This window comes from Homo sapiens, chromosome 18 (assembly GCF_000001405.40).
Source record: "Homo sapiens chromosome 18, GRCh38.p14 Primary Assembly".
NCBI classification, from domain to species: domain Eukaryota; kingdom Metazoa; phylum Chordata; class Mammalia; order Primates; family Hominidae; genus Homo; species Homo sapiens.
This window is the reverse complement of record NC_000018.10, coordinates 53,283,376-53,309,182: the sequence shown is the minus strand read 5'-3', so window position 1 is coordinate 53,309,182 and position 25,807 is coordinate 53,283,376. Positions and strand designations below refer to the sequence as shown.

At 36.9% G+C, this 25,807-nt stretch overlaps 1 protein-coding gene across 5 annotated transcripts in view; it reads right to left on the bottom strand.

Moving 5' to 3' along the window:
• The window catches only part of DCC (DCC netrin 1 receptor), a 1,195,703-nt gene that overhangs the window by 226,717 nt on the left and 943,179 nt on the right, over positions 1-25,807 (bottom strand). For all 5 annotated transcript variants that reach the window (NM_005215.4, XM_017025568.2, XM_017025569.2 and 2 more), the window contains one exon: positions 3,464-3,605. In NM_005215.4, the coding sequence (NP_005206.2) occupies positions 3,464-3,605 (142 nt within the window). The remainder of the gene's footprint in view (positions 1-3,463; positions 3,606-25,807) is intronic.

Here is a 25,807-nt window from a genome sequence, read left to right as displayed (position 1 = left end):
ACCTATAGTCCCAGCTGCTCCGTAGGCCGAGGCAGGAGGATCACTTGAGTCCCGAAGGTCAAGTCTGCAGTAAACTATGATCATGCCACGGTACTCCAGCCTGGGTAAGAGAGCAAAACCCTGTCTCAAAAAAACAAAACAAATAAAAAAGGAAGAGGAGAGAACACAGAGAGGAAAGTATAAAAAGATGGAGGCAGAGATTAGAGCAATGCATCTACAAGCCAAGGAAGACCAGGGACTGCCGGTAACCCCAGCAGTTAGGAGAGACTTGTGGGATGGGTTCTTTCTCAGAGCCTACAGAGGGAGCTGAACCTACCAACACCTTAATGTCAGACTTCTGGCCTCCTGAACTATGAGAATAAATGTCTATTCTTTCAAGTTACGAAATTCGTGGTATTTTGTTTTGGGTCTCTGCTGGTGAGAAAGCTAATAGTTGCCGTACTGCGTTTTTTCAATGATTTTACCTTAAACAGAGGGAAAGTCCTAAATGTGTTATTTAGGGAGTCAGAATCTTGGTTTGAAAATACTAACTGAATGTGTTAACTTCCATTTGCCAAAATAACTCATAAGGACTAAGCAATTAACGCTAGCAAATTCTACTGGCCATGAGGCTACTATTCATTTGTTTTCTGGACCACTGCTTTCTAAGCCATTCAGATGATATTGAGTTAGCATTAGTGGGAAGAAATCTTCAATTTTTGAAAGCAAAAATTGTAATATTTTTAACTTATTGTTTTTCATTTTGCATATGCAATTAAAAATACATATCATACTGTTGTTACAAAGTAAGCAATATTCACGGTCAACAATTTGGGATATATATTATTCTAAATATTTTTATGTGAATGCTTTTTTTAATAAATACGAGCTCTTGTACTAATACTGACTTAAAACTGGGGTATTTGCTTACTATGTTTTAAATAATCATAATTTACATATGATTTAACATTTTTACACTATTTCATTTAAATTAGACATATAGTATTCCAAGATACAACTGTGTCTGAGTTTTCTAGGTAACTTCCTATAGTTGGATATTTAGGTTTTCAAAAACACTATTAGCTATTAAAATAATATGACAATATGCATCTAGCTAAAAACTTTGCAAAAATATGATTGCTTCCTAGGATAAACTCGTAGAATTTGGAAACCTGGGTCATATCTTTATGAAAAGAAAATTATATGTACAGACATACATCCACATACACATGTATATACCTCGTATAAAATACATATATATATATATATATATATATATATATATATATATATATATATATATATACATACACACACATTGCTTTCCAGAAGGGTTATGGACATTTTCTGTCCCACAAGCAGTATATGAGAGTTTACATTTCTCATATGCTTTCCAGAATGGGATGCCCTCATTTATTTTTATCTTTATTACTTTAATCAAAGGAAAATGCTAACTCATTTTTATTTTAATTTGCATTTCTCTATTTGCTAATGAGATTGAACATTTTATCATCTTTATTGGCTGCGTATAGTTCTGTGAATTGAACATCCAATCATTAGCTTTTTTATTGGAATATTAATCCTTTAGTTAATTATTTTATAGTAAGAAATTAATTTTATATTCTCAATGTTTATCATTTGAGAAGCAAAAGCAATGATGATAAAGTTTTGAGGCTTCAAATCTCTATGTCTGGAAGAGCTTGGATTAAATTATCCTTAGTGTCTCCTCTACTCTAATATTAAATCTTAGAATCCATACTAAAATATTTTTAGCAAGATTTTTCAATTTTGGTGATTTCTCTCAAAGTAAAAGTCATATTGTACCAAATATCCTAATGAATACATGTTCCTCACTTTGATTATTTTTACCATCTTCCCCATTATTTTGTCAGGGGAAAAAGAAAAACATAGGATATTGGCTTTTCAAAATCTTTTAAAATGATATGGTAAATGTTAAACTTTCCGTTAGATTCAACCATTCCCTGCCTCAGAGATTTTGTCCATATTTAAAACATGATTTTTGGCAATCTACTTTGGAAGTGCTCTGGCCATTATGCTAAAATTATATAGGCATAAAAGACAACCTGAGAGAAAAGAAGAAAAAATAAATAAACAAGTTACTTTCAAGTCTCTGAGTGTAGGCTGAACAAGAAGCTTATAATGTGTGTGAGTCATGATTTCAAATGGAAATTCGCTGAGTATCTGGCGTAGAGAAAAGGAATACATAAGGGATTACTTTCTTTTTTCTCACTTGCAATGGTAGTTTACCTCATCTATAAATTGTAAGTCATGTGCTTTATGGTTTGTATGTTGTCCTGACCCAGTTTATGTGCCACTTCAGAGTCGCTCAACTTCATCTACCCAGCTGTGTCATGAGCCATTCTATATGCTTTGCTTGCCAAGTTTCTGGCAGTAGCTCAAGATATTCCTAGGTTTGAAAAGCCCTGAGCTCTGATCATACCCTAGGCCAAGCCACCATCACATAAAATGTTGATTGACAAAAAGACACCTATGTGTCTGCAGAGTCATCAGAAGCTCTGGCTTCACTGGGGACTGCCTGGGAGGTGCAGAGTAATCAGTAAGCTGTTGGTGAACTCAACCAGTGAGAAACAAGAGAGCAACTGCTCACACCTTCTATCCATGGACTGTGAGATAGTTCATGTGGCTTCTCAAGAGACACCCAGGAGACCTAGCAAGTGCTGTGTTTGCCCCGAAGTTGTGGCCACCACAGATGGATAATGTACCACCATTATCTGTTTTCTCTTCTTCCCTGGATTGCTTTCCTTGTTCTCTCCTTCTTGTTTTCCTGAACTTATAACTTTAAAGGTATTACGTTGAAAGCCTCGCCTCATTCTGTTTTCTAGGAACCTGAGCTGTTGTGAATTAAAGGTTGTAGTTATTAAATACATGATTATTTTATAAAATTTAAAAAAATATATTCTTTACATGCAAACTGGGTCCAGTTTTCATAGAGAAGGTTGATCTACTCTGAATTCTATCAATATTGCTGCATAAGTGAATTTACTTTATATTGGCAGAAGGTAGAATAATCTCTCTCTTTGTTTTACAATCTACCCTTTTCTTCAGTTTTCAACCCATTCTCACCCCTGAATATTGGTAGAGGGGAATCAAAGTGATTGAAATTGGAACAATTTCATTAGATGACTTTTAAAAGTTACTGGTTAAAATGTTAAGTTTTTAGATAACAGATGCTTTTGTTGAATCAGCAATGCTGAGAAACTAGTATGAATAAAAATTTTATGATACATGTATTAAGACGATGATCCAGAGAGAAATATATAGTGAAAACATTATAGAGAATGTAAAGTTAAAAATATAAAGGTTGTTCTTGTTCCAGCCAATAGATGTCACCTGCCTGGATGCCAGGAAGAAAATCAATGTTCCTTTGGAGTGAGACTATATTTTATTCCTAAAGCATTTAATTCATCAAAACCTTGCAAGACTACACCATGTGAACACTGACCTGTGAATAGGTACCAGAGGTTGTTTGGCTCCAGTGTTTCCATCTCACCCCTGCGGGTCGTCTTTCTGTGTCGAATTTTATAGCCGGTAATAAATCCATTTTGTGTTCCTGATGGAGGAGGCAGCCAGCTAACTTTGATACTCTGTAAAATAATAGGTGTAAATTAAAACATTGAAGAAAGAAAGGACAATGGGACAGGGTCAAAGAAGTAACCCAAACGTAAGTGTGAAGAAAGCAGAGAAGCAAGAAGTGTTAGCGATTGCCACTTAGAGACAAATTAAATTCGTTCTTATAATCTGACAGCATTCTTATTTGTCTGGTTTTAACAAAAATACACATTTCCTTTGATTGATTGAATGCATTATCACCTCTCCTTTGCATACACTGCTAAAATGACAGTAAAATATTCTAAATGGTATAAAGCCACAAAACAATAGAGAATAAGGTTATATTGCATGAGAGATGTCAACTAATATTTGGAAGGTGCAAATCGGAGGGAGCTATAGTGGATTAGTCTGTTCTCACACTGCTAATTAAAGACATACTTGAGACTGGGTAATTTATAAAGAAAAAGAGGTTTAATGGACTCATAGTTCCACATAGCTGAGAAACCTCACAATCATGGCAGAGTGCAAAGAAGCAAAGACATGTCTTACATGGCAGCAGGCAAGGGAACGTGTGTAGGGGAACTCCCCTTTATAAAACTATCAGATCTCGTGAGACTTATTTACTATCATGAGAACAGCACAGGAAAGACCTGCCCCCATGATTCAATTACCTCCCAACGGGTCCCTCCCATGACAGGTAGGAATTATGGGAGCTACAATTCAAGATGAGATTTAGGTGGGGACACAGTCAAACCGTATCATAGGTTGACTGAGCCAAAGAAGAGAGCCGGAAAACTAAATACGTTTTTAAGAGACAATAATAAAAAAGCAAGGCAATGAAAAGCACATCAAAAGTCAGGGATTCCTAGACATTGTTCCTGCTTATATAACTTGGAAGGTAGGACTTCCAAGCATAGTCCTGAAGGAGGGGAAGGACTGAAAGTCATTCAGATCAGGTTTCTACCTATACCCAGTAAAACCAGGCTACTAACCCTCCCTGACCTTGGAGGTGTTGGTAGCTTTATCCTCTGGGGATATTCAACTCAGAGGCCAAAGTTTCAGAGATATTAAACACAGGAGAGAACAGGGATGTAGGCAAGAGTAAGTAAATCAAAGATATGAGCTACCCATGTCTTCTTCCTTCATATGATACCTAGAGCAATGGCAACCAGGTATATGCTTCTTGGGTAGAATATCATATAATCCTTCTCTAGAGAAAATTATTATCTTTGCCCTAGAGAAAAAAAAAGCAGTCATATCCCTGATCAATTCCCCAACAATGAGGCTCCTACTGATATGGACAGGAGACAGGGAAATACTGGGTAAAAGAAGGTGGTTCTCTGGCAAAAGGCCCCACCCTCAAGCCTGGAAACCCACAGCCCTAAATGAGAACAGTCATTCCTGTTTTCACACCCAAATGTTGCCTTTTGGCCTGCCATGTCCCCCTATCCTGTACCCATATTAACCCCAAACCCCAGGCTCCACAAGCAAATGAGCAGACTAGCAGAAGAGGAGAGGAACAGAAGAGCAGTGTGGCAGAAAAGAAGAGAAGAGAAGGAGCATCTGAACATCGAGAGGAGTTCAGCTGGGGATAGTCGGGTAGGAGATCAGCCATGGGACCACCAAACTCCAGGGGAAGATCATCTTCCCACTCCACCCCCTTTCTAGCTTCCCATCCATCCTGCTGAGAGCCACCTCCATCTGGCAATAAAATCCCCCACATTTACCATCCTTCAATTTGTTCATGTGACCTGATTCTTCCTGGATGCTGGACAAGAACCCAGGTACCAAGAAGGCACTGAGCTGGTTAACACTTAAGCTGTCTGCAGATGGCAGAGCTGAAAGAGCACTGTAGCACACTCACTGGGGATTTGGGAGTCACAGACAGCAACCCCTAGATGCTACTGTGGGCTCAGAGACCAAAAGTGCTCACCCTAGCTCCTGCCTGTCTGCATGCTCCCTGTCCCATAAGGGGTTTGAGGGTGCAGCAGCCAAACAGACAGGCCACACCGGTGTCACATATCCTGCAAGGGGGGTCAAGTAATTCTCCCATTTCACTACTTAATAAGTCCAACTCAAGTGCTAAAATTTGTAGTTTAAAATCAGCTTTTTCATACTTCATTTTAATGTAAACTGACAATTTAAGATTACCAGACATCAAAGAAGGCCCTTAGCATAAAGGAAGTGGAAAAAGTAATACATAAGAAGATAACAGCACATGAAGGAAACATCAGTAATGCAAAGAATGAAATCCAAAAAGACGTCATTAATACCCTGGTAATCTAAGAAATGATAATCCATCCATCAACAGGATAAAAACACAAGAATATTAAAAGATTTTTAGAAACTTATTACAAATATAATTTGATTGCACAAATTAAATATTCAATAAATAAGTTGGAAGATGAATTAAAAGAAATCTCTCAAAATTCAGTGGGAATAAATTATCACATGAAATGGGAGAGAAAAGGTAACAAATTAGAGATTTGGTTCTCAATTTCCAACACCCCTGAGGAGAGAATAAAAAAGCAGGAAAAATAAAAGGTAGAAAATTAGCAAAAATGATAAAATGACCCCTTTCCCAATAAAACTTTACAAAACTGGAATACTTGAGACTCTAGTCTGAAAAAGATTGTGGAATATTAAACAAAATAAATGCAAAACAGATCCATTTCAAGGCACATTGCTGTAAAATACTAGAGCCTCATGGAGAGTGGGGAGGGGATCCACAAGTTTCCAGAATGAAGGGGAAAAAAGCAGGTCACATAAAACATGATCAACAGTAAGAATGGCATCAGATTTCTCAACAACACTCGATATTAGAAAACAACAGAACATGAATCATACAATTCTAATCTAGGATTCTAAGTCTAGAATTTAATGTCCAGTCAAATAAGCAAGCATAAGGATAATATAGCACAAGTATAAGAATATATGCTAAGGACAGTATAGGGATATTTCAGATATACATGGTTTCTAAGATATCTATTTGTGTTTTCCTTAACAGGAAGCTAATGAAAGATGTGTTCCAGGAAAAGAGTGCAGTCTGAAAAAAAAATATTTAAAACACAACAAACAGCGTTGAAGACAATGAAGAAAATTGTAATGTGATAAAAGATATAATATGATGAAAAACCAGACTCGAAAGAGTACATACTGTTTAATTCCATTTATGTGAAGTTAAAGAATAGGCAAAACTAATCTACAGTATTCGAAGTCAGAATAGTCTAAATAGTTGTTCTGGGTTTTGATTGGAAATGGGTACCAGTAGACTTTTTGGGGTGATGGAAATCTGCATATTGATGTCATGTTTGTTACTCAGATGGATACAATTGTCAAAATACATATTTATGGGCTGAATTTTGACCACCAAGAGTCATATGTTGAAGTTATTACTCCTGTATCTTAGAAGAATCTGACTGAATTTGGAGATAAGTCCTTGAAGGAGGTAATGAAGTTTAAATTAGTTCACGAGGGTAGGTCTTAAATATGACATGATTGGTGTCTCTAAAAGAAAATAAGGACACAGATATGCACAGAGAAAAACCACGTGAAGACACAAGAAGAAGGTAGCCATCTATAAGCCAAGTGAGCGAGGCCTCAGAAGAAACCAAATCTGCCAACACATTGATCTTGGACTTCTAGCTTCACTAACTGTGAGAAAATAAATGCCTGTTTTTTAAGCCACCCAGTCTGCAGTATTTATTATGGCAGCCCTAGAATACCAGTATATTCATGAGACTGAACACTTAAGATTTATAATTTCATTTATTTTAATTACACCTCAACAAAATAAGGAAGAGGAGGAGAAGCAGCAGTAGAAAAAAGAGAAAAGATTGGAGAAGAAAATGAGGATGGAAGTGTGTCAGCACCAAATCCTGACATAAAAATAAACCAATAGATGATATCTACAAATGATGAATTAAAACTGGTAAACTAAGAGACATCTAAATAAGTAGATTACTGAGAAACATAAAGGTAAATGTCAGAAAAAAAAAGGCAGTCTTTAGGGAATGGAGGCAGGGTTTGGGGAGGGGAAAGAAAGAGCCTGTTTGTTTTTGTTATAGGCTTGTTAGTATTATTTAACTTAAAAAATAATGTGCATGTAATACTCTGAAAATATTTAAATTAAGTTTTAAAATAAGCACACAGAGGTTTTTTGTTTGTTTTTTTTTTTTGAGGTGGTAGAAACAAATTACAGGCTGTTAGAAAGAATCCAGACACAGCCGGGTGCAGTGGCTCACACCTGTAATCCCAGCACTTTGGGAGGCCGAGGCAGGTGGATCACCTGTGGTCAGGAGTTCGAGACCAGCCTGACCAGCATGGAGAAACCCCATCTCTACTAAAAATACAAAATTAGCCAGGCGTGGTAGCGCATGCCTGTAATCCCACCTACTTGGGAGGCTGAGACAGGAGAATCGCTTGAACCCGGAAGGTGGAGGTTGCAGTGAGCCGAGATCACACCATTGCACTCCAGCCTGGGCAACAAGAGCAAAACTCCATCTCGGAAAAAGAAAGAGAGAAAGAAAGAAAGAAAGAAGGAAAGGAGAGGAAAGGACAGGAAAGGAAAGGAAGAAAAAGAAAAAGAAAAGAAAGAGTGAAAAGAAAGAAAAGAAAAAAAAAGAAAGAAAGAAAGAAAGAAAGAAAGAATGAATCCAGAACCAACGTCAAATAATGGATTTGTCCAGGACCTCCCTGTCCCTGCTTCAGTCATGGAGCAGAGGCAGAGCTAGACTCTCCAGGGAGATAGAAATCCAACCTCCTTCTTCCAGATCTACCACAAATTAGCTGGTGCTCTGCAGATAAGTTTCTCTGAGAGAAGAAAAAAAATATAATCTAAATTTGCATTTACTTGCTGAGTAACTTACTTTGTTATTTTCTGTATAGCTGCCCTCACCCCAGCACTGAATTTGAGAATACTGAAATATTGCTCCTAGGGGAAATATAGGTTTAGGTTCCTTCAAGCCTCTGGTTACAATATTTTTGTCAACTGATGGGTACCCAACCTTGTTTTATGTGTGTTTCTATTTAATGATACCTTATTTAATATGACAGTATTGTCAACTCTTTAACTTTGAACTTTAATGCGAGAAATAAGGCAGATCGCAGCCTTCTTGCTCTTAGGAACACTGGACAGTGCTTCAGCACTCCACTCTGGGATCATTTTAAACAGAAAAATCACCAACCAAAAGCACAGAAATACAAAAAACATGGCACCAAATGGACCTCAAAAAGGGTGCTTGTTTACAGTATGAGGGCTAAAACAAGAAGACAGAGCATCTCTTTCTTCAACCTCAGCTGGGAACGTGGACATTTGGCAACTCAAATTTTACCCTGCTCTAAGCATAACCACAAAGCACCAAGGGTATTGATTTGAGTTGCAAATAAATTTTAGCAAGCAGGCAGGCAACTTTGCAACTACAGAATCTGTAAATAATGAGGATCAACTGTACTTATATAATAAAAATCTTTTACTAATTTCAGAGGAATCTAGTTACATACAATTGATCTGATTAAGTTGGTAGAATATATTCAAAATACTATCGCACTGAGATCCTTTACTTTGTTTCCACTATTCTTTAAGTGTGATAAATTAAGCACCACTCTTAACTACTATTTGTTAACATATTTTTTGCACTTACTTTAGACCTGGCAATGGTCTAAGCACTCTGCATTATTTATATTTTTATGCTCATTATGACTCTGTGAGTTAAGGTCTATTGCTATGACCTTTGTAAAATCAGGTAAACTGGGACAAGAATGGTTAAATAAAATAGACATGTATCCAACAATAGGCAGAATTTTAACTGAGATAACATGAGTCAAAAGGAGGACATTCTTTTCTGCTTAATATTGCCTCCTATGAGAAGTTCAAGAGGCTGAGAGTCTAATTCATTTAGTTGTTACTCATTCAACATGTATCAACTACATTCTTGATGTGGTAAACATGTAAATAAGTCATGATTTACCCATTCTGGCTGAGGAAAGAGACATATGAACTAATAATGAAAAAACAACATGCTAAGGTTTATAGTAGAATGTCCAAGAGTGATTAATTCTATGTCATATGACCAAAAGGACTTTACAAGGAACTCATCCTTCAAGTGTGATTTGGAGTTCACGGAGGGGTTGGGAATGGTATTTAAAACAGGAAATATCAAGAACAAGCTCAAGATGTAAGGACAACGTCAAGCATCTTCAGGGAAAGCTCATGTAGTCTCTTAGTGGCTAAAGCAAAGGATATATAGGATAAGGAAAAGGAAAGGTAGATTGGGAAAAACATTACAAAATTTTTCAGACCATGCAAAAGAGAGAGAAGGCTGGATTAATGTGTTCATTTAAGGCATTTGGCTAAGTTATTTAGGAGATAAAATAATGCATAAAATAATAGTGTAGAGTCCCTGGCTGCAAAGAACTCATAGTCTTAAATACACACAAGCCCATCTATTCCCTTCTTCCCCACCATTCATACATGTAGGTGCACATGTGTGGACATATTCTTTACTCCCCAGTGTTTTAGAAACTAGGAAAGAAAACCAGAATTAAAAGAATAGTCATGGTTTATGTTTCACTACTCATCTTAGTGGTGAGTGGTGAAATGGCAGATATTATCACCATTGATGATTTTACAAAGAAGGAAATTGGGACACAGTTAAAAGAAGGATAGGCCCAAGGTCACCTGGCACTATCAATGGAAGACTTCCCAACTGTGGGGTCTAATGTTCCTTTCATTATTTCACACTAAAATAAGTAATCACAGGGACTCTACTTGGCAATTATACTCATCTAATTTCTCCTATTCTCTTTAAAAACTAGAATTTAAATAATTTAAATTATTCTTTTAAAATACATCCAATAAGCTTTCCCATACAAAGCCCTTGGAAAATCAAGGAGGGCCACCTTCTGAAGACTACAGCTGTTTTTAAAGTCAAAAATAAATTCAAGTTGAAAAGGAAAATACAAATGTAGATATTAAACCTTAGAACAAGAATTAGAACCTTTTAATTTCCAATTATTGTTTTGCTGTGACTTTGCTGAGTGACCTTCTGCAAGCCTTTTTTTTTTTTTTTTTTTTTTTTTTTTTTGAGTCAGGGTCTCTCTGTGTCATCCAGGCTGGAGTGCAGTGGTGCAATCAGGGCTCACTGCAGCCTACACCTCTCAGGTTCAAGTGATCCTTCCACCTCCTGTGGGACTACAGGCAGGAGCCACATAGTCCGGCTAAATACTTTCTGTATTTTTTGTAGAGACAGGGTCTTGTCATGTTGTCCAGATTGGTCTTGAACTCCTAGGCTCAAAGGATCCACCCGCTCACCCTCCCAAAGTTCTAGGATTACAGGAGTGAGCCACCATCCCCAGTTATGAGTCTAATAAGTGATCTGAATCTCCATGTACATACTGAAAAAGAGAGAACAATTGTGCTTAGTATGTCTACCAAGTGTAAATCACTTGATAAGCCTGGAGAACTTAATTATACTAATGATTACATAAGTAATAGTTTTTGACAATTTTTCTTTATCACATTTGAGGATTTCCAGTGATCGCTTAAATTATTCCCACATAGCCAATACCTTAATATCGATGCCAAGCAGCAATTAATTAATATAATCAGTTATACACTCAACACACCAGGAGTGAAACCCCCTGAATGGTTATTATTCATCTTTGGAAGTGATTATTATCAGTTTTATTCATCCTCATCTGTAGGTAGCAGCTAAGTTTATTAGCATCTTTTGTGCTTTCTCATTGACTTCAAGCGTCAGCAGATTACAAAGATTCTTTCTTCTTAGGTTCTTTAGTAGATGATACAGCTGGAGGCTCCAAATTATATTGTGTTTTAGGAAGTTAAATGAAAGCATTCAGGCATTCTTTTCTTATTAATGTTATAAGGCATCTTATTTTCTATATGAGACCTATTTTGCCACTGCCCAGTAGTTCAGACTTCATTTCCCATTCCCTCAGCAAGCCACCAAAAGCTGTTGCTGTTACGGGAACATTTTTGTAAAACAACCTAGCTTTCATAGGCAACCCTGGCAATGATTTTTATTAAAAGTACTTAACACATGACCTTTGACTTTTGAAAAATCAGTTCTAGTAGCTGTGACTTGACTTTTGGTCCTTTTATTACTTGAGAGGGAGAAATTAATCCTTATCACTTGCAGTGTTCTATCCGAATCAATGAATAATTTCAGTTTTCTTCATATTTGGGAAAAAATAAGAACTATAAAATTTAGCTTCCTCTAATTCCTCCATCCCCTCTTTGATCACCATAAAAATTATTTATTTGCCAAGTAAACCTGATGGAAAAGAGTTAATTGATTTAAAACAAAGGGTGTCACTGGCCAGTCTCCAAACTGCCTGGGATAGTCATGTCCAATTCAATGATGTGGTGTTAGCCTTTTCCTGGGATCCATTAAAACACTGCTTTCTGTTTTCTCCACTGTAGACGTACAAGAGTAGTAAGTGAGGAAACAGGAAAAAAAGAGGTTGATAAGCCCACCACTCCAATTTTTCTCAGAAGCCACATTTCATAAACTTATCATATTTTTAACTCCACATCTCCTACTGCACACTGACATTCTGCCTTACTCTCTCCAGAGTGACCTTCAGGTGAAGACAAACCCATTTTGATCCTCGTCAAACACAGTCAGTTACTCTAGCAAAAAGCCTTTTTTAAAAAAGATGGTTTTATCTAGATGGAATTCCCATAGAAAGCTATGAAGGGCACTCTGAAAGTCCTTGCAGCAAGTAAGAATGCCTTGGCTGGAACATAGCAGGAATCTACGAATCTTGAAAACTAATTTAAAATCAGTTTTGGACTTCTGGTGACTTGAATCTCACAGGAAGTTGCTTTCAGAGTAAAATATGCTCCCAGTATGCATGAGGCCCTGAGGGTTTTCATTAAAGTGTGCCCATCAGTACTTTGAAAGAATTTATTTTCACTGAGTCCCTTTTCTGCCCAGTTATGTATATTTCCTCTGACACTACCCTAATTCTGACCTTGATTTGTCTATTGCCCAGAATATTGCCATAGCTAACTGGCGCCCCAGCCTCTACTCTCACACTGCTCACACCCATCTCAGTTACCTTTCTGGTCAGTGTGTGACCCTGAATTTGCAACATAAGCCTTCAGAGACTGAGTTTTCTCATCAGCAGTATGAGCTAATAGCAGTCCCTCCCTCGTAGGATTATGGTACAAATGAAAGGAAACAATGAGAACGTGTGAAAGTTCCATCAGAGTGCTGGCACATAATATTTATGTAGTAAATCAGAACTACTTTAAGGGAAACTGGGAGGAAAAGGGAAAGAGAAAAAGAGAGAGTGACAGTGAGGTCCAGCGATCCAGAGATTGAGAGACTGAAAGATTGTGAGGGTGCCAGGTAGAAAGAATAAAGAAAAGCAGAAGTGGAAAACAGCAGGAAGGAAGGAAGCAAGACCACGTACAGTAGCAATGCCAAGAATATGGACCTACTTATTTGTGCACTGACCCAACAATTGAACATTTGTTTCTACTGTGAACTGAAAGGAGCACTGAGAGAGAGAAATTGTCTAGCAACACTTTTGTAACTTCTATTCTATGAATACTTATTGAGAAACTTCCTCTGTGCAGGGTACCATTCACATTTCTTACTGTACCAAATAGAACCTCCGGGCATGGGTAGTGAAGAAACCTTGGGATACAGCAAAATAAAAAATCCCATATATATTTTTGGAGGTAGACTTGACAGGATTTGGTGAATTATTGAATGTCAAATGCAAAGGAGGACAAGTCATCAAGAATGACAGGTTTCTGACATAGGCAACACGGTAGATAATAATGCATTTACATGGATAAGGTTTTCTGAAAAATAATCCACTTTCCAAAAGAAAAAACAAAACACTGGACTTACCTACCAGATATCCAACAAATGGAAACACTCAGAGGATATAGAAACAAAGATTACCCATATGGATTCATTCTGTTTAATGTTGGAAAGGGCAGTTTTCAAATTTCATCATTCAGAACAAATGTTATACTCATAATCTCAAAATTACAAAATAGCAACATTTAATGTTTAACTTACAGTATCTATCTAAATACTTGGTAAATATTTCTATAGATCCTGAAAACATCTAACTGAATTTCAAGCTAGAACATAAATATCTATGAAAAAATTCTATTATGTGTATTTGTAAACAATTTTCATTAACAATTTTGTCTTTTTATAAACTATGTAAATCTATAAACTTATTTTACCAACCCAGCATGGATTTGATAAAATATCAATATGATATAATAAAGGCCCATATTTTTTCCTACTCTTATATGCTATTTTTGTTGATTTGACATATTTTTAAGTTTAGCATTAATAAATATATAATTTCTTGTATTAAGGGAAGTTAGAAATTTGGGTAGAATACTAAAGTTGAGATCCGTAATTTCATGTAGACAACTGTTAGACAAAATGTATCAGTATGATACATTTCCAGAGGGAAAACTCTGACATTACTATGCAAAGTTTGAAGTAAATATTTGTGCAGTAATAAAGTATGTTTAAGTACACGTTGGGTAATATTTGATTTTAAATAAAATTTTATGGAGATGTCTTAAATTGAAGCAAGAAATGTTACTTTGTTAAAAAAAATAAAGGCTAAGCTGTTGTGATTTTATTTAACAGCTTGAAAATGATACAAACATTTCTTCATCAATACATTTATATAGTTGTAAAACAATCTAATCTTTATCTTTGCCCTGCTGGCCCCTGGTTCTCGTAAAAGTGCCAGTGGAACTCTTACCTAGAGATTAAGCTCTCCTTTACCTACTCTGGGAGAATCCTTTCCCTGGTTATGTAAAAACGTAAGCCAACCTGGGACAATTTCTCAGATTGTTCAACTTCAAATCAAATCATCTACTTTGATTTGGGTCCCAGCTCTTGTAACAGTATTTCTCTGGTGGGGACACTGCCTTGTTTCCGGGTGAGTCCCCCTTCATTTTGTTAATCTGCCAGGTCCCTCCAAGACATGCAAGGCTGAGTCCTCCAGCGATGACTGTCTTCTCTGAGACTCTAATCAGAGGCTGGCAGACTTCCCTTCCAAAATACACCCACCCTTTCTGAACTTAGGCATGTTACCTGATTTAGCGCTCTGAACCAGCAAAACCTACTAGCCTTCTGATTCACAACCAGAAATGTCTCTTCAGTCTTTTTGACTCCCCTATCAGGCATAACTGCTTTCTACCACTCCACTTCTCTGGATACTGTCTTTTTGAATGACAGCCTTCATCACCTCACTTCTTCTGGTTTAGGGCACAGCCCTCCTGCCACTGGCTCTGAACTCCATGCCTGTTCATCCCCAAGATCTTTTTCAAGTGTATACAATCAACACAGTTAGGGTTATTTTTTAAAAAATCATTTACACCAGTAAGAAATGTTATCCGAATTATGCTCCACTTCTTATATGTTCCATTTTTATATTTTTTAGCCAAACTGAGCTAAATTTAAATTGATTTTGGGAAATTGACATGCCACCACTTTTCTCTGCTTTAATCTAATTCTTACAACTCAAACTTCACAATTCTAAGGAAAAAAAAGGAGAAACTAATAACTTACCCAACCCGCTTCATTGTAGGAGCACAGGAGACTTGAACCAGTAAATTAGGGTCAAATAGGTTTCCAAACCTTCATTGTGAGGTCCCCAATCTATGACTGTTCACAGAGACACAGGAAGCCCAGTGGAGACTAATAATTTGAGAGTCTGGTAGGCTAGTATTTTGCACACTTCCAAAGTAATATATAAAAAACTACTTCTTGAGTTATTTAAATATGAAGCTCGGAGCTCTATCAGGAGAAAAGTGGACAACAGCTGAGAGTAGCCTGCAGACATCTCTCTAGTGATGAGGTTAATTCAACTGTAGCCCCAAACTGGCATGCTAATTCTGGACCATAAACACTAGTGATCCTTGGACACAAAAAGGGAGGCAAAAGACACCAGGGCCTACTTGAAGGTATAGGGTGCGAGGAGGGAGAGGAACAGAAAAATTAACTATTGAGTACTAGGCTTAGTACCTGGGTGACAAAATAATCTGTACAACAAGCCCCTATGACACAAGTTTACCTATATAACAAACCTGTACATGTACCCCTGAAACTAAAATAAAAATTTAAAAAACGCTAGTAATCTATTTAAAAATTTAACTCCAAATGTTAAATGAATCTCAGATCCTAGGCACAGATGTACAGAAACATGTTGGAGGTCTTCTTAATTTTTATACCAGGTGTGGTGCTTAGAAAATCTTATTAGATGTTCTATCTAGCTGCATTCCTATTGCTTCTTGACTTTTTGGCTAAGATCAAGTGTAGTGTGCATTTCTGAATCATTTAGAGAAAGGCAGAATAGTGTTCTGCACATAAAAGGTATTCACGGACTGTATGAACATGGATGCATATTGTTCTACTCTCAGCTTTTCATTAATTTGCTAAGTGACAGTAGAAATTATTTATATAGCAGCATCAATTGTATGTATTACAACATTATCTCTCCCTAGTTATTGAGAGGTGATCGATGAGAAAGGGCTTAGAAAATTGAAAACACTACAAAATACAAAGTTTTGCTCTTATTTTAGTTTTCCCATGTCACGATTGTCATGATTTGCAGTAGGAGTAGTATGGATAACTGTTTTGAAACACAAAATGACATTAAAAACTGAAGCAAGTTTTCAAAGAATTAAGTAATCAAGTCACTTTGGCCTCACATGATTGGGTTTCACAGACATAAAAATAAATAAATGGAGTGATTCTGGTTGTGACTGAATTACCTTCATAAATACTTAATCTGATTGCAACAATTAGATTACAAATCTCTGAGAAATGTTCTTTTGCTTCTCAAAGACAATTCAGCATTGTGCAAAGATTTGTTTTTTTGTTTTGTTTTGTTTTTGTTTTTGTTTTGAGACGGAGTTTCGCTCTTGTCACCCAGGCTGGAGTGCAGTGGCACGATCTCGGCTCACTGCAAGCTCCACCTCCCGGGTTCAAGTGATTCTCCTGCCTCAGCCTCTTTAGTAGCTGGGATTACAGATGCCCACCACCCATGCCTGGATAATTTTTTGTATGTTTAGTGGAGACAGGGTTTTGCCATTTTGGGCAGGCTGGTCTTGAACTTCTGACCTCAGGTGATCTGCCCGCCTTGGCCTCCCAAAGTGCTGGGATTACAGGTGTAAGCCACCATGCCTGGCTGAGGTGGTTTTTTTTAAATAGTAAATTTTCCCATATTCAGATGAATGACCCATAGAAACATCACTTTTTCCACTGATTACCACAGCTCTATTCGAGTTGCTTCTCAGATATGTAACCATATATGGTTTCTATTATGGGAAGAAAAATAAAGAAAAATCAATTAATCCTTCCTGCCCGCTGGGCTTTCTTGGCTAACTAAGCAAAACCAACCCAATATTCCTAAACTGACTAAGAAAATGATCCCCAAATGTCAGAGTATAGCCCAGCTTACAGGAAAAAAGGGGGGGGGGGTGGAGCTCAAAGAATAAAAAGACATGAAAAGAAAGCAGTGAGTTTGGTGTGTACCTAGCATCTTCTTTTTTTAAGCTCCTGGATTTAAAATAGCATTTTTTACATCTGATAATTTTCTATGCATAGCCTAGTAGCCAGGCTTGTTTCTTCTAGGTCCTAGAAACTGGAAATGTAATTTCTAGGAGGTATTCACGTTTTGACAAAATTCCATTACAATAAAGCAATTTGGTTGTTCCCTAGAGTTTATGATAAAGTGAGTTTACGATTAATACATTTTGGAATTTGTCAGTATCAATAGACTTAATTCTCCAGTGCCTAAATCATTCCTTGGAAGTAAGCTGGATGTTTAGAAGGGCTTATTAACTCTTTCAGATCACTAGGTCCTTTCTCAGACTATTCGTTTGTACTAAATAAAACTACTAAAAGCAATATAATATATTTGATGTAGGAACTAGACCTAAGAAAGCTGGAATAGAAATACATCAGGGGAGTTATATGTAAAATTACACCCTAGAAAGGCACAAGAAAATAGGGCCAGTATATAATTTAAGGCAGAAAATACAGTGTTCACTTATTTCTTATTTCCTTTGTGTTTTGGAACATGGAAACTAGATAGAATTTGAGCAGTAAGGTGAGTAGTACAACTTGAGAAAAGTTTATTTCACCAGATATTTAAGCAACCTGAGTCAAAGAGAAAGAAGGTTTAAATACGATTCATGCCATATAAAAACGGCAACTATAGGATAAGATGCATTTATCAAGAATAACCACTGAGATCGCAAGGTATTATAATAATGCCCTCATGATAAAATAATTGTGACAAACGAATTTGGGCTCTTACAAAATGAAATATTAGTTTATAGGCTGTATAACGCTTAATCAGAGAAAAAAATGACATAATTTTTACAATATCTTATACTCCAATATCTTTTTTCTTTTTTTTTTCGAAATGCAGTCTTGCTCTGTCACCCAGCCTGGAATGCAGTGGCACCATCTCAGCTCACTGCAACGTCCGCCTCCTGGGTTCAAGCAATTCTCCTGCCTCAACCTTCTGAGTGGCTGGGATTACAGGAGCCTGCCACCACACCTGGCTAATTTTTGTATTTTTAGTAGAGACAGGGGTTTCACCGTGTTGGCCAGGCTATTCTTGAACTCCTGACCTCGTGATCCGCTAGCCTCAGCCTCCCAAAGTGCTGGGATTACAGGTGTGAGCCATTGTGCCTGGCCCCAACATTTTTTTAAATTAATAAACCAGAACTTTTAAAATTATTGTCATAAAATAAGTCATAGTGTTTGATGGGAGAAATATAATTGCAAATCAACTTCTTCCTGTACAGAACCATGCCCTTTTCACTTTTTTGCTTTTATATACAGAAAAATTTAGGTATGGCCAATATTCAGGGATAAACATGTACAGCTGGGTCTATAGTAAATAAGGAAATAAGATCTTGTGAAGAAACAGTTTTTTTTTTATGAAACCACAGAAGTGGCTATTAACAGCGGCCTATCTTCAAGCAAACTGTCAAATTAGGCCCTAAGTAATTAATCTCTGAAACCAGCAGGCTTTCAATCTCAGAGCAGCCATCTCAAAGACACGATGTACCATGTAATTACATGGGACATTACAATGTATTTATGAGGTCATTTGTTACAATGTACAGTAATTACAGAGTACTTATATAGCTATTTATGTCTCATAAAATGAAGTGAGACTAAATATTTTAATTGTTTTGGAGAAATAAGGAAAATATTTGAGTTCCAAATGTCAGGTAAGATTATAGATCAGATTCACATAACTCATGTTAACAGCAGGCTGCTTTCAGAACCACAAGTGTTTTGTGGCTTTCTCCTGTTGGAAATGAAGACTTCAGGCATCCTAACAAATATTCCTACCAGGGATGAGGTAAATGGAATTGTTCTCTCTCTTCGATCTTCAGGTAATGCCAGATGATAGACCAATAGTATGATTTACTAGTTACACTTTACATCCAAACCATAAATGTTCAGGTGACAATAGAATTGCTGGATTAAAAATAGTGTCATATACAATGCTTTCACAAATAGCATACCATGCAACCAAACAGAATGATAAAATACCTGTCCTTGTGTTTTTCATTTCTATTGCTTTGAATCAAAATGGTATTTGCTCAGATTTTCATTCCCTCTCCTCAAGCACACAAATCTAAAATCCATTCCCATTTTCTGAAAAAGAGAAAATTTTTAGGAAAATTTTTGAAGTAGTTTTCTCCTAAATTTCTTTCCTTTATCCCAGTCTATACTTGGAAGTTTTTACTTGGCTTAATAGGTGACTTTTGGCAGCTGACAGAAGAGATGTTACATCTGAAGCATCACGTCAGATGCACAATCAAGAGATCTCAGCAGTCTCAAAATTACATGGCTGGTTTTAAAAAATAAAAAAACACTCTTTTTGGATTGTTAATGATCTTTTTTTATTAATGTCTGCAGAAAATCTCACTATAATTTACATTAGTCACTTTATTAATTTGTTCAATAAACATCCCAAATGCTTGCTACACTCCAGGCATGGTGCTGAAACAGGCATATTCAACTCAAACTCTTTCCTTGAAGAACATGATTGATTCTTTCCAGTGAAAGATTATATAATGCTCTTGGTAAATCAGGTTTACTTAAATCTACTAAGATAAATAGACACACCATACTATAGTCCCCTTTTGAGAAAATAAATTCTGGCTTCGTAGAGAATTTATGCCTCTAAATTAGAATGATTATGATTTGATCAATCATGAAACACAAATAATATTACCCAGTCTTTGCTTACTATTGCTGTCTCCTATTCGTGTGATTCCATGCTTAGAAACTGCAAAATAGTTTTCAGTTACGATGGTATAGGTAAAATGTTCCTTTCTAAACTTGAGCCTATATTGCGAATTTCAACAATTATTTTTCAAAAGGAATAAATATCAAATCTTTTTTTTTGTCATGCAGATATTCTTACCACTAAATTGTTATAAATATGTGAACTAATTAATGTCTGTAAAGGCTGATCAGCAGGTTGACAGTGATACCCACTGCAGCCTCCTGGCAAATCAAGGATTCTATCAGTGTTTAATGACTATAACATTCCTATATAATGGTCCTAGTATTTGCCAAATCCAGATACTCAGAACCCACACAACCATCTGCAGAATGTGGCCTGTTAATATGCACATAAACCAATTAAAAATCACAGACTCATTCAACAGCCAGTCAGGTCAATTCTGATCTACTGTACCAATTTTATTTATACATGCAGAAAGAGCAAGTCTATTCTCCACTAAAGTTCAGATAAGTTAATGAGTGAGAGAGTAGTTGAGAAAATATTCCCAACTTATTCCAACTTAAGAACAGTTAGAAGTAGTTTACTTTTGAAAAAAGTATGGGTAACTATCAACACTTCAATCAGTATTTCAATTAGATATGTAATCGTTCTGCATCTAATTGATTAACAATTAGCAGCACCTGTAGTTGGCTATAATTTTAATTACTGATTGCATTAGGGCTGACTACTTAAAATTATATCTGCACAAAAGCCATTAGATTACAAGGAAAAGAATAAAACTATTCCAAAATAATTACTCTATTAAAATTGAGATTAAAGCCAATTAATAAAATATTTTAAAAGATTTTTATTTCAAGCAATGTTAACAGATTTTCCCTCAATTATGCAACATGGAAAGAAACCGCCCAGTGATCATTCTAATGTAACTAACTTGCCATTTTCCTGGGAGACCAGGAAGTAGTTCAGAATATGCCATTGTCCATCAGAACAATAGTTATTAGGAAAAAGTTCCTAGGTAACAATAGATAAAATTTCTAATCTGCTTTAATAAATATTCATGTTCTAGAAATGAAAAGGTTTGTTGATCCTTTAATCAAGAATATGTCAGACTAGTCAATAGTCATTGTCAAAAAGAGACCTTGAATTACTTTTTTATGCACAATAAGAATCTAAATAATTGCTCCAAACACAGTTTTTCTAAAAGAGAAAGTCAATTTTTAACTAATATACCTTAAAATCAGGCAATAGTGACAAAACATCCTGTATGCAGATGATGCGTGTTTACATGACGGTATTGCAAGAGAGGGCTTACAGCATATTAGGATTGCGTACATGCTCAAAGAACCAATAAATCTTCTAAACTTAAAAAAAATCCTCTCCAGTTCTATCCTATACCAATATAACGTTTTAAGAATCAGTGACCTCAAAATATGGATTGAGGCAGTGGCTACTTTTTTAATAGTCTCTTTTGTTATCAATAAAATGTTTCTGCAAATGACTGTTTAAACAAACTCAGAGAATTTAATATTTATAATTTTTAAAAGTTCTTTGTTAGAAAAGTTTTAAGCAGATACCAAATTAGGATAGTAAGAAATACCACTGTACAACCACTATGATGATTGTGATTAAAAACACATAATAACAATATTGGCAAGGATGTGAAAAAAATGGAATCTTCACACAACTGGCTGGTGGGAACGTAAAAGTGGCTTGTGGGAATGTAAATTGATGTTGCCTCTTTGAAAAATAGTTTAGCAGTTCCTCAAAAGGTTAAAAATAGAATTAAGTATGACCCAGCAGTTCCTTCCCAAAGTATATACCTAAGGTAACTGAAAACATATATCTACATATAAACTTATTTACAAATGTTCATAGCAGCATTATTCACACAATAGCCAGAAAAAGTGAAAACAGTCCAAATGCCCACTATCTGATGAATGGGTAAACAAAATGTAGTATATCCATACAATGGAATATTAATTTAGCCATCAAAAGGAATGAAGTACTGATACATTCTACAATATGGATGAACCTTGAAAAATTATCTCATCTGAAAGCCACTCATGAAAGACCACATAGTGTATAATTCCATTTATGTAAAATGTACATAATAGGCAAATATACAAAGACAGAAAGTAGATGAGAGATTGCCTCTGATGGGTTGAGGGAGGGACTGGAAGATGAGAGGTGAATGCTAGAGAATTTCTTTTAGGGGTGACAAAATGTTAGAAAATTAATGTGGTGATGGTTGTGTAACTTTAAATGGGAAAATGGTATGGTGTGTAAATTAAATACCACATGTGAAGATGTTAAAACTGGAAAATTTCACCACCAAAAAAAAAAGAATAGTATAATGAGTCCCAATATGCCTATCACTTAATTTCAAATTCTCAGTATATTGCCAGTCTTGTTATATATATGCCAAAGACTCCAGATAGACACTTTATTTAAGGAAATTCTAAATATTTTTGTAGAGTTGGAAACACCCCTACATTTGTGAGTCTTGCCATAAATGGGAAGTACTTTCCAGAGGGAACCTAAATCCTGTCTGTTGTTTTCCTTCATCATGGCTATGATGCCCTGTAAGCGTGGTACTCACAAATATTTGAAGACAGCAATGGCGATGCACTGGACCTCCAGAAGAAGGCGAAGAAGGCAGTATATACAGAGCAATGAGTCCTACTCCATTGCATCAAGTGCTGCCTCTGAGGACATCTAGAAAGCCAGGCACAATTAGAGGCTAATGCAATTGTGTATTAGTCTGTTTTCATGCTGCTGGTAAAGATATACTTGAGACTGGGCAATTTACAAAAGAAAGAGGTTTATTGGACTTACAGTTCCAAGTCACTAGAAGGCCTCACAATCATGGTGGAAGGTGAAAGGCACATATCTCATGATGGTCAACAAGAGAAGAGAGCTTGTGCAGGTAAACTCCCATTTTTAAAACCGTCAGGTCACTTGAGACCCACTCACTATCATGAGTACAGCACAGGAAAGACCTGCCCCCATGATTCAGTCACCTCCCACCAGGTTCCTCCCATAACATGTGGGAATTGTGGGAGTTAAAATTCAAGATGAGATTTGGGTGGTGACATAGCCAAACCACACCATTTCACCCCCGGCCCCTCAAAAATCTCATGTTCTCACATTTCAAAACCAAGTATGCCTTCCCAACAGCCCTCCAAAGTCTTAACTCATGTCAGCATTAACTCAAAAGTCCACAGTCCAAAGTCTCATCTGAGACAAGGCAAGTCCCTTCCACCTGTAAGCCTGTAAAATCAAAAGCAAGTTAGTTACTTCCTAGATACAAGAGGGATACAGGCATTAGGTAAATGCAGCCATTCCAAATGGGAGCAATTGGCCAAAACAAAGGGGCTACAGGCCCCATGCAAGTTCGAAATCCAGAGGTGCAGTCAAATCTTAAAGCTCCAAAATGATCTCCTTTGACTCCATGTCTCACATACAGGTCATGCTGATGCAAGAGGTGGGCTCCCATGGTATTTGGCAGCTCTACCCCTGTGGCTTTGAAGGGTACGGTCTCCTCCCTGGCTGCTTTCAGTGGCAGCATTGAGCGTTTGTGGCTTCTCCAGGTGCATGGTGTAAGCTGTCAGTGGTTATACCATTCTGGGGTCTGGAGGATGGTGGTGCTCTTCTCATAGCTCCACTAGGCAGTGCCCCAGCAGGGACTCTGTGTGGAGACTCAGACCCCACATTTCCTTTCTGCACTGCCCTAGCAGAGGTTCTCCACGAGGGTCGTGCCCCTGCAGCAAACTTCTGCCAGGGCATCCAGGCATTTCCATACATTTTCTGAAATCTAGGTAAAGGTTCCCAAACCTTAATTCTTGACTTCTGTGTACCTGCAGGCTTAAAAACGTAGAAGCTTCCAAGGTTTGGGGCTTCTGCCCTCTGGAGCAACAGCTAGAGCTGTACCTTGGCCTCTTTTAGTCACGGCTGGAGTGGCTGGGATGCAGGGCACCAAGTCCCTAGACTGCACACAATAGAGGGACCCTGAGCCCAGCCCACAAAACCACTTTTTCCTCCTAAACCCATGGGCCTATAATGGGAGGGTCTGCCACAAAGGTATCTGGCATGCGTTGGAGACATTTTCCCTATTGCTTTGGGGATTAACATTCAGCTCCTTGTTACTTCTGCAAATTTCTGCAGCTGGCTTGAATTTCTCCTCAGAAAATCGGATTTTTTTTTCCATCAAATTGTCAGGCTGCAAATTTTCCAGACTTTTATCTTCTGTTTCCCATGTAAAATTTAATGCCTTTGAGAGCAGCCAAGTTACCTCTCGAATGCTTTGCTGCTTAGAAATTTCTTCCACCAGATACCCTAAATCATCTCTCTCAAGTTCAAAGTTCTACAAATCTCTAGGGAAGGGGCAAAATGCTGCCAGTCTCTTTGCTAAAACATAACAAGAGTCACCTTTGATCCAGTTCCCAAGAAGTTCCTAATCTCCATCTGAGACCACCTCAGCCTGATTTCATTGTCCATGTCATTATCGGCATTTTGGTCAAAGCCACTTAACAAGTTTCTAGGGAGTTCCAAATTTTCCCGCATTTTCCTGTCTTCTTCTGAGCTTTCCAAGCTGTTCCAATCTCTGCCTGTTACCCAGTTCCAAAGTTGCTTCCACATTTTTGGGTATCTTTTCAGCAGTGCCCTACTCCCACTACCAATTTACTGTATTAGTCCATTTTCATGCTGCTGATAAAGACATACTTGAGACTGGGCAATTTACAAAAGAAAGAGGTTTATTGGACTTACAGTTTCATGTGGCTGGGAGACCTCACAGTCATGGCAGAAGGTGAAAGGCACGTCTCACATGGTGGCAGACAAGAGAAGAGAACTTGTGCAGGGAAACCCCCATTTTTAAAACCATAAGATCTCATGAGACGTACTCACTATCACAAAAACAGCACGGGAAAGACCACCCCCATGATTCATTCACCTCCCACCAGGTTCCTCCCACAACATGTGGGATTGTGGGAGTTACAATTCAAGATGAGATTTGGATGGGGACACAGCAAAGCCATATCTATCCTCAAGTTATTTAAAAGAACAAATACAGCCCATGGGGAAATTCCTGGAGGTTTCAATCTCAATCCTTTTAGTGATCTTACATAACAGAACTACAGGGCAAAACATGGGTCTAAGCCTGTACAGGGTATTCTTTCAGAGGGTTTGAGGAGATGCAGGTAGGGGTTAGTAAAATGCCACGTGCAAATGAATGGTTAATCTCAGCATAAAATTTATGAAAGGTCTTGAAAAATAATAATTTATATGCTTATTTGCTCAAGCACAAGAAAATAAAATGATAATACATGGAACGTATTCATAGCCTATGTACTTTTCATCATAGTGTTTATCACAGTTCAAAGTTTCCATTGATCTGTTTGTTTTTTAGCTCCCTAGAACTTAAACTCATGAACTTTGCTGCTGTCTTTTATGAAGCAAGGTAAGTTTATAATTAGCATTGACAAAGTCATACCAGAGTTCATGAGAAAATTTGAGTAAATGACAAACAAGTGATAATCATGACACATGTTCTTTGTTTTTGGAAAATTGCAGATTTGAAATATATACATGTTCTTACATGCATTGATTATATACAATTGTAATCCTGGCCTATGTTTTAATTTTCCTTTTTATAGAATCGTAGAAGTTAGACAGACCTGGATACCTTTGTTGTGTTCTGAAGAAAGCCTCAGTGAGCAATGGAATAAGCATAAAATAAAGGCTATCTTTTGATATTCTAGTTCAGGTTTTTATTTCTATGTATTATCTATTATCTTTGCTTTCCAAATTACATTGAAATATTATGAAAACACATTTAAAATAATATACATCAAATCAGTAAACGTGTCCTTCCTATATTAATGTTATAATTAAAGACTCTGAGCCTGAAAATTCTAAGAAAGAGAGAGAGAAATAGGGG